This window comes from Homo sapiens, chromosome 9 (assembly GCF_000001405.40).
Source record: "Homo sapiens chromosome 9, GRCh38.p14 Primary Assembly".
Classification (NCBI taxonomy): domain Eukaryota; kingdom Metazoa; phylum Chordata; class Mammalia; order Primates; family Hominidae; genus Homo; species Homo sapiens.
Genome location: NC_000009.12, coordinates 62,363,581 through 62,374,480, shown reverse-complemented (window position 1 = coordinate 62,374,480; position 10,900 = coordinate 62,363,581). Strand labels below are relative to the sequence as shown.

Here is a 10,900-nt window from a genome sequence, read left to right as displayed (position 1 = left end):
TCTTTGTAATAATCTTTAATACCTGGTGGAGTGCTCTGTTTACTTATTTCTGCATAATTAACCACCCCTAAGCTTAACTTACTCATGGTTCTGCAGGGTGACTGCTCTCCATGTTTCTAGGTGGTTCTGCATGGGGCCTCTCACATGTGCTACAGTCAAACATTAGCCGGGGCCACAGTCATCTGAAACTCACTTACATGGCTGACAATTGATGTTGGCTGTTGCCTGGAGAAGACATATGTGGCGTGGTGGAATGGAATGGTGACTAGATTCAAGAAAGAGCTTCCCAGGAGGAAGGCTACCAAGAGACCGAAGTAGAGGCTTCAGTTTCTTAAAAAAAAAAAAAAAAAAAAAAAATCGGGCAAGGCACGATGGCTCATGCATGTAATCCCAGCACTTTGGGAGGCCAAGGCAGGCAGATCACAAGGTCATGAGATCGAGACCATCCTGGCCAACATAGTGAAACCCGTCTCCAATAAAAAAAAAAAATACAAAAATTAGCTGGGCATGGTGGTGTGAACCGGTAGTCCCAACTACTCGGGAGGCTGAGACAGGAGAATCTCTAGAACCTGGGAGGCGGAGGTTGCGGTGAGCTGAGATTGCACCACTGCACTCAAGACTGGCAATAGAGGGAGATTCCATCTCAAAAAAAAAAAAAAAAAAAATCCAATAGCAGAATTCCCAGAATGGAATTTATGTCACATTCTATGGATCAAGCAAGTTGCAAGGCAGCCAGATTCAAGGGGAAGGGAGCTATTCCTCACCTCTTGAGAAGCAATGTGTGTTGAGGAAGGGAAAGAATTGATGGTAGCTGTCTTTGACTTCTGCCATACAGAGCAAGGTCTCCACACTCCTTTCTCCTGTAATAATTTTCCATTTGAAAATTTTCCTTGCAATTCTCACACCTTTATTATTTCATATAAATTTTACAATCAATTTTTTTCTTGTCTAGATAACCATGCCATTTGGATTAAAATTGCATTACATTGCAACTTTTGAGAAACTATGGGAGGAGAATTGGCAACCTTATAATATTGAATTTGCTCATTAAGGAACATAGTTTCTCTGTTTATTTAGGTGTTATATTTTTCATAACATACATGTTGGTATTTCTACCCAGGCTTTTCTCTTTGTTTTGTCATGTAACCCATGAATGAGACTGCACTGTCTGTGTGATTGGGCAGTTGCCCAAAGTTTAAGGTGTTAACATGCATTAATTCACTTAATCACTCCTCATTTCCTCCTTCCCTCAACCCCTGACAACCATGAATCTGCCTTCTGTCTCTAGATTTGCCTATTCTGGACATTTTATATAGATGTGTCATCCAATATCTGGTCTTTTCTGACTGGCTTCTTTCACGTAGCAGGATTCTACGGTTTATTGAGGTTCATTCATTGTGTGGCCTGTATCAGTGCTTCATTCCTGTTTATGGCTGAATAATGTTCCACTGTATGTACATATGTATGTATACCACACTTTGTATATCCATTTATTTACTGGAGGATATCTGGGTTATTGACAGTATATTTCAGGAGTCCCCAAGATCATCCTCCCCCTTGATCTACTGCTCTTTGTATCTTATATGACCTGTGCAGAACTATTTATCTGGAAATTAGGTGATGGTTAACTAAATATAGTTCTTCTAAAGACTCATTTTCCGTTGGTATTACATCCTGAGGAGACTTTAACTCAATCTCCCAATACATTTGATCATCAATATCAGTATTACCACATGACTTATTTGCATGAGGTAATCAAATCTAACCAGCCATGCCAGTGTTACCCATATTGCATGTTGTGGTAGTAGATGCAGCCCCCCAAAATAAAAGTCAAAAGATGCTCGCACATTCCTGAGGTTCTTCTCAGCCACTAACAATTGGTGTAGTTCATCATCACCTGGAATGACCAAAATGTCTCCCATGGAAATGCGGCTCAGCTGTGTAGGCTTCCATTTAACTTTGTCAGGTTCCGAGGCAGGGCTGGCTTGAGTGGTCTTGTTTCCACTTTGGCTATGATGAATAATGCTGCTGTGAACATTCAGGTATACGTTTTTGTGTGGTTTCATTTCTTTTAAGTATATACCTTGGAGTGTAATTACTGGATCATATGATAACTCTGTTTTAATTTTTGAGAAACTACCAAAATGTTTTCCAAAACAGACAAGATTTTACATTCCCTCAGCATTGAATGAAGGTTCTTATCCAGTTTCCTGTTCTTGCTGACACTCCTTATTGTTTGTCTTTTGAATTTAGTTATCTCAGTGGGGTGAAGTGGTGTATCATTGTGTTTTGATTTGCATTTCCCTAATAATGAATGTTATTGAGCACCTTGTCACATGCTTATTGGCCATTTTTCATCTTTTTGAAGAAATGTCTATTCATCTTTTGCCCATTTTTAAATTGCGTTGTCTTTTTATTGAGTTGTAAGAGTGGTTATATCGTCTGGAACATGTGTTCCTTATCAGATATAAGACTTATAAGTTTTTGTCCCATTCTGTGGTTGTCCTTATTTTCTTATGTAACCTTTGTATTAGTCTGTTTTCATGCTGCTGATAAAGACATACCTGAGACTGGTCAATTGACAAAAGAAGGAGGTTTATTGGACTCACAGTTCCATGTGGCTGGGGAGACCACACAATCATGGCGAAAGATGAAAGGCAAGGAGGAGCAAGTCACGTCTTACATGGATGGCAGCAGGCAAAGTGAGAGCTTGTGCAGGGAAACTCTCATTTTTAAAACCATCAGATCTCGTGAGACTCATTCACTATCATGAGAACAGCACAGAGCAAAATGAATCAACAGTTGACAAATTAAGGATTAACTTATGCAAGATTTGACTGAGAATACTGAAGAAAACATTCTCGACATACTCGACATCATTAGTTATTAAAGAAATGCAAACGAAACGTATAATGAGCTGCCTCTTCAAACCTACTAGATTCAACAAATATTTATTATTTATTTGCTCTATGCCAGAAATGTGTCTTCATGCCAGGTTAAGAAAAAGAGAAAACAGAAAAAAAAATAGCTGTCCCTGACAGGAAGAGCTTACGTTCTTTCTTTTTGGGCGAGAAAGGCAGTGAAAAATTAAAAAAAGAAACGCAGTATTAACATGCGGATAAGTTCTAGGGTGAAATTTGAATGCAGATCCAGAGTGACTGTCTGCCTCTCAAAAGAATTCTGCTGAGATGTCTAGAATTAAGTAGAGTAGCAAGCAAATATCTACAGCGCATGTCTCTTTCAAAGACAGAAAAACAAAGTGGTTTTTAAGGTGGGTGAATCTTGGCATTTCCAAGAAATATCAGGAGGCTCTTAAGGATAGAATGACCAAAACAATGAGGGCTGTGATAAAATAAATTGGGGGAGGTATGGAGAAGGATCCCATATTGTTTCTTTCACAAACAATGACAAGGTTTTGGGTTTTACTTTGAGAAGGGGAACAATTAGAAAGCTATGAGCAAGACTGTGAAATTATTTGATTTATGTTTTATAATCATTCTGACTCCTGGCTGAAAAACAGCCTCTAGGAATGAAAGTGAGAGAAATAGGGTCATCATTTATGAAGCTATTCCAATGATCCAGTGCTTTGGCAGTTGCCTGGACATGGCTAGTAAGAGGTAAAAGTAATCTGATACATCTTAAAGGCAGGTGTTCATGGATTTGATATGGCAAATGAAAGAAAGAAACCACTATGTGTTATATTCCTTGAGCCAAAATTGAGGTGTAAAATAAACATGCTCACATAAATGGTTGATTATGTTCTTAAATGAAGGAGAAAATAGTTGCAGTGATGTTAAGTCATCAACCATTTAAAGTGTTGCTTTTGAAAGAGATGAATCAAGGAAGGGATGGACATGAATTTTCCTTACCTAAAAAGCTAGTGAAAATTAAGATTGACATGAACAGGATTAAAACTTTATTTTATAGTGGTACTGAGATGAAACATCACACTATCTGACTTCATAGCTTAAAAATATAATCACCCCACCAACTTCTCACTCTTTTCAAGGATTTTGTGAGTAACCAGCTTTAATTTGGAAAACCTAGACTTGTACATACAGATTGTTATGTTTGTGAGTATGATTATTTCTATCATTTTGTTTTACATTGTGCTTTATCATTCAATAATTAATATCTATCATTTTCCATTAACTAATTTATTTTATGACCATTTATTATTATTATTACCCTATGGTAGTCAATAATTACTGATACATATTCCATTGTTTTTTGGGATTTGATATAGAATCAGAGAAGTTTGTTGCCAACTCCTTTTTAGTTGAATATATATTGTTTTTGTCTTATATTTAGTTTTTGTAAAACTTCAGATTTTCCATCTTGCCCCACTATTTATTGCTAAAAATCATATCCAAATATGACAAGGTTTAGGAACACACACAGTTAATGAACACATGTTAAAGTATAATAACACAGAATACATTTTTGAAAGTAAGTTTATTAAAATTAGCAATATATTTCTAGTTATATGCATAAGGATATACCAACATGGATTTTGCCTGCCCAATATTAATTTTCTCTTAATTTCTTACTTACAGAACTTCAATTTGGTCAGGAGTCTAAGCCCCAAATTATGTTTGCTGTCATGTACTCATGACAGCTCTTTTTCTTGATTTTTCTAGCCTTTATCCATTTGGAAATGTGAACCACCTTTTATAGGTGAGATACAGTATAGCTGAACACTTCTCTAAAGGTTTCTGTAAAAAAGCATAAATGTACAAGCCTATCATCCCGATTCTATTTAGTTTGCCTTGAATATGAATGTGATAAGTGAAGTAAGATCTCACATCTTGCAACATGAAGTGGGAGAAGGGTCAACATAGAAGAAATGTCAGAAGAAATGAACCAATAGAAAATTCCTCATTTGCTAAATTTTGTTAAAAGAAAAAAATAGATTTTAATATTAATCTGATCTACACAGGCAAATGTTAACTGCAATGAAAATGTCTTTTAGATAATTCAGAACACTTTCCATCCTTGGTAAAAGTATTCATTTTACTGACTCACTATTATATATTTTGTTAAGTTAGAAACTCATATTCAATCAAAGGAAATAAAAGTTCCCCCTAATTTCTAGGAATATAAAAAAATAGGTACACATAGCTTAGATAATATTTTCTATATTTGTTCAAGTAAATCAGTTTAGTAATTGTTTGAAATACTTCCAATTGATATGAGTCCAATTTTAGAAGGAATTTTAGTTGGAAGTGTTATTCTCTTTATGAAGATGTAAATGGCTCTGTTTACTGGCCAATATTTACATACACATACAGTCAATGAATGTTAATTTGCACACAGTGGCATATATAATTCAAAGTTCATTTTATTAGTTAATTTAGATATGGTTCAATGAGAGTTTCAAACTGAGGGCATAGAGTCATATAACATACTCTAGAAGAACAACTCACAAAAACTAAAATAAATTGCTTTACCATGTTTGCCTTTGTATTTCACTTTTTCTGTTCTGAAGAATAAGCATGGTAAAATTTACATATATCTAATGCATATAATGGGCAATGTATGAATTATTTTACAAATTACTCATAACCAGAAGAGTTCTGTTGGATTTTACCATATGGCCAGATTCATCTTGCCTTTCAAACTTATGTAAGTAATTTTTCCAAATCTCTTTTTTTCCCATAACATACATGCTGCTGAGTCCACTCCTCCAAACTAAGTAAACATAGGAATGCTCATGGCCAAATCATAAGTATAGAAAGTGACTTTGGAACTGATGAAGACTTTCTTCTTGTCTACGCTTTAGTCAGGCTTCTAGGAACACTCTTTTTGACTCTACTTTGTCCTTGGGCCCTGTCTTTACACTGCCTAGTCCAGCTGTTGCAAGAATGCTGCTAAGTCAGTTTAGAGAGAATCTCCCACTCTTGATATCTGATCACTCTGGCTTGCCTTCAGCAAGAATCCTCTTACGTTAGCTAACAAGAAATCCCCTACCCTTGATGTCTCCTCTTAGTAATTTGTATTCATTGACAACCTTTCACTCTGCTCATTAGCTGCACTTCCCAGATATCTTTGCTGTGTTCAGAGTTGAACCTTATCTCTCTTGCCTATTAGAATCATCTTGACACCTATCATTTTAATCTTAAATAAAGTGATCCTTAACCATTTTAACAAGTGTTGGAAATTTTTTTATTTAGCAGAACTAACAAATTGTTTGCGAACTATTGAAATAGAACTATTCTATTATGGCCTGCAGATATTTTTCTCAATTATAATTCACTTTCATACTGTAAAAGTATCTTTGCTTTGTGTATATCTTTTTCATATAAAAACTTTTAATTTGGCAGGGAATAGTGGCTCATGCCTGTAATCCCAGAACTTTGGGAGGCCCAGATGAGTGGATCATGTAGGTCAGGAATTGAGACCAGCCTGGCCAACATGGCAAAACCCCATCTCTACTAAAAGTACAAAAATTATCTGGGCATGGTTGTGGGCACCTGTATTCTCAGGTACTTGGGAGACTGAGGCAGCAGAATCGCTTGAACCCAGGAAGCAGAGGTTGCAGTGAGCCAAGATCAGGCTGCTGCACTCTAGCCTGAGTGATAGAGTGAGTGAGACTCTGTCTCAAAAAACAAAAAACAAAAAAACCTTTCGATTTATTTTCCAGAGGTCTATTTTTAATTTAGTAACAAGATTTTTAAAAATATTTATAAAATTAAATAACAATAGAATGTTAGAACTAGGCCCTATAAAATATAAAATTGTCAAAATTGCTTAGCATGATTGTAGCTTCAAGGATCCTATTGTTAATGTGGCAACTTCTGAAACCAAACATCATCATGCTTAGCATCAAGAGCTAAAGTAGTCATGAGTTAATGGAGAAGAACAACTAAGGAATTGGCTGCCGAAGTAAAGTTTATGCTAAATTTAAATGAAATGAAATAACAAAGTAGTTTGAAATGAACATTCCATTGATTATTTTTAAAATTTTATTTATTAACAAAGTAGCTTATACTAACTGCCCACTGTCTATCCCAATAGTTACAGCAATAACATATAGTTAACATTTGTAATTAAATATTTCATTTCATACAAATAGTATTTTAAAATTCAAGTGTTGATTTTTAAGCCTTTGAATGTTTGGCTGTTTAAAATTTAAGTGCATATAAAAATTGTAGAAAAGGGTCATTATTAATAAAATATTCAAAATATGGTAAATTTTGCATGATGATTTAATATATGCAAATTGACAAGTGATGTGAATAGTACATTTGAATAGAGAAAATATGTACATAAATGAATGGTATTTCAGAATCTAAGCAAATTGATGACTACATTATGTACTTGTCCCCAATGTAAATGAAATATTAATTAGAAAACTTTTTTTTTTCACTAAAGGGCTGAACATAAAGTGTGATGGCAAATTGGTGTGTTCTTGTATTTCTTGTCTTTGGGGATTCTTTTCAGTATATTTTCACTTAATGTTTTAGCAACATTTTTCGTCATCCTTTTACACTTATAGCTGGACTATGCTTAGTGATAGAAAATAGTTATATAATGGGATTATACTTGGCCATATGAATTTGATGGTATGAGTTAATCTGTGTTTCACCTTACTTGTGTCTACTTGTAAATCATTGATGCTAATGTTATTAGTAATTTTTAGAGGGTAGAAATGTTTTCTATATGACATTTTTGAGAAAAGGAAGTCAATAAATCCCATTTGATATGCAACAGAAATAAAGATCTCTTATTTCAATTTTAAAATGCTTTATAACTTACATTGCTTTGTTTCATGCATTATTTGTTTTGATCAGATGCAAAATGAGTCAGTAATGTCATCTAACCACAAGTTTGATACATTTTTTAAAGAAAAATTTCCAAAATACTTTAACTGAGCAATAGGCTAATACTTCATAAATTAAAATATTTAAATATTCAATCTTTCTGAGTGGATATTTGTTGCATATCTGATAACTTGGCCTAATTCTGTAATTGGGATGAGAACTACCCAATTTTATTGGTAACCTCTTTTCTGCTCTGCAACTTTGGAAATACTATGGAGGACTCCAAATTCATTTGAGACAAAAATATTAAAAATGTATCCCCTGATTAGGATTTCAGTTCCAAAGCTCTCCTTGGAGGGATATAGAGCTGGAGAAAATCACATTTATTTTTCGTCTCTTTAATATTGATATATAAAAGTCAGGTTAAAATTAGTATCAAATTGGGAAGCCTGCATGGTAAACCGGCTGGAATAATACACTCTGCAATATGAAGGAAAAAGGAAAAATTTAGTTGATTTATTTACCTAACTATAATTTTTTAAAGAATTTTAAGTTTCTAATAAATTTAACTATAAATTTTTAATTTTCTATCTTTCATTTAGTACCATCTATATAAACTTTTCCAGGCTACTTCTCTGAATCACCTGGCAAAATCTTATAATTTACCACCTAATTGAATAAAACACACACACAAAATAATCTATTTTGAATAATAAACATCATTTATAATTATCTTGTTGAGATTGAGAGTAATCATCAGGTGTGGAAAAACTATTGAGGAAATTTTAACAATTTAAAATGTAATAATCTTTTTTGTATTATGTGTGTTTTATACTCAGAAGTGCATATGTTTTATAAAATTATGTGAATTTATAAATGTGGTCAATATTAATATTAAATTGTATCTTTTAATAGTATCTTCAATTATCTTTTTTTTTGCTGCTGGATTCCATTTAGAAAAAAAAAATGTTCTATATAGCAGTGTTGCTTTCTTTTTCTTTTCTTTTTGCTTTTCTTTCTTTTTTCTATTGATAAAGTATTTACTTGATCTTGGGGAAGAGGTATATAATCAAGTGACCACATTTTTCTTTGTTACATATTATTAAAAATTTATAATCAATCTTTCCAAATTGTAATCGGTCTGAAACCCATTTGCTTTACTCAAATTATTTAGTGACTGTAAAAGTTTCAGAAACATATGAAAGTTACAAATTAGCTTTAAATGTGTCATGTTTAAAGCAGTTGTTTTAAAAGCTAAGTCATTATCCATTATTATGTAACTAGTATTCTAAATATCACATCTTTGCATTGTTTGACTTTTAAGGCATATGAAATGTTTTGGATCAGAGAAATCATTTGCTTCACATCCCTAAGAGACAGACTCTATGGGTACTGAGTCATGCTAACAGTGGCAAAACCTGACAAACAATAAGCATCTTTTTCAAATATTTTAAACATTTCACATAAAAATTTACTTTTAGCATACATTGCAGCCATCGAGGAAGCCTAAAGTAAGGAAAACCTCAGTGAAATATGATGAAGTTAATAAAAAGAAATAGCCATCATTTTATTTGTTTAAATTGCCATTATCTCTCATATAATTATGTACAATATATAACATAGGATAATTAAGTCAAACTGTGTACCTACAGATATGGAGAGCCTTATATTTTAGGAAAAAGTAAAATGTAAATTAACTGGTAAAGATGAGCTTTTCAATCTATAAGGCATAGACACTTTTCCTTGGTGGATTTGAAAAGGTTCTTAGAAATCTGAAAATAAGATAGTTTTTCTATAATAAATGGTAAAAAACACTTTCACATCTTAACCTTATCATAGTATCACAATGCTGGAATGTTTTTACTGGGAAATAAGTAAGCTAATTCAATTATAAATTGCAGTAGAGGAAAGGATGAAGGTTAAAAAACACTATCTATTCAAATCCTTAGTCATGAGGTTGAATTCATTGAATCAGAGTGTGAATATATATCTATATTTGAGACAGAATGTGTATGTATGTGTGTGAGTGTGAGTGTGTGTGTACAGTCATTAGACATTTGCCTCATGGACAGTGGAGGAAAACATTTGCTGAGCTGCTTTCCTACCTTAAAGATTTACAACTGCACTGTTTTCAAGATATACTTTTTATATCTCAAATAATGTAATATATTATGTTTAGTTGTTGATATAACAAGATATCTGAATACCCCATAATTGAAATTATACCTGGAAATAAATACTTGAAATACTTGCTTCAGTGACATTTGTGGAAGTATACTTATTTAAGTTCAAATTATAGGTATATTGAACAAAATGATATTGGATTCTTCACTGGCTGCATACTTCTGAAACTTGTAAATAATTTGAAATTAGTTTCCAAGAACAGAAAGACAAATATTAGATAGGAAATACCAAATTCTTAAGATTCATACATATAAAAGTGAAATAAAAATCAAACTTAATCTTATCATGAATTTTCTACTGTGGCTTAATTTTAGAACTTGTTATAAAAATAGAAATGCTATTAATTTAATTACATTTATTAAAATCTAAAAATAGGTGATTATAGCTAGGACATTGACAAGTGTAACTATACATGAGTAAATATAACTGAGGATAGCAACACATGAAATATATCATAAAATTGAATTATTCTATAAATAGTATTAAGTCTGTATTACTTGGAACTTGATTCCACTTAGAATGTCCCTGCTTTTATTTATTTATTTATTTTTGTAAACAAAATGAGCAAGAGGTTATTACACTTCATTCACTGCGAAAAGGTAACACTACATCAAAGATAACTCACATACTTGCAGAAATATGGAAGGTAGTTCTTTCTTTTTTTTGTTAAGAAATAGGGTCTCACTATGTTGCCCAGGTTGTAGTGCAGTGACTATTCAAAGGGGTCATCCCACTACTGATAAGCAGAGGAGTTTTATTCTGCTCAATTTTTGAGTTGACCACTCCTTAGGCAACCTGGTGGTCCTCTGCTCCCTGGAAGCTAACATATTGATGCCAAACTTAGTGCAGACACTTCCTCAGCATAGTGCATACAACCCAGAAATCCTGGGCTCAAGTGTTCCTCCCGCCTCAGCATCCTGAGTAGCTGGGACAACAGGTGTGTGTCACCTGGC

The 10,900-nt window shown here is 33.3% G+C and overlaps 1 pseudogene; it reads right to left on the bottom strand.

Moving 5' to 3' along the window:
• Nucleotides 10,617-10,900, bottom strand: RN7SL544P (RNA, 7SL, cytoplasmic 544, pseudogene; annotated as a pseudogene).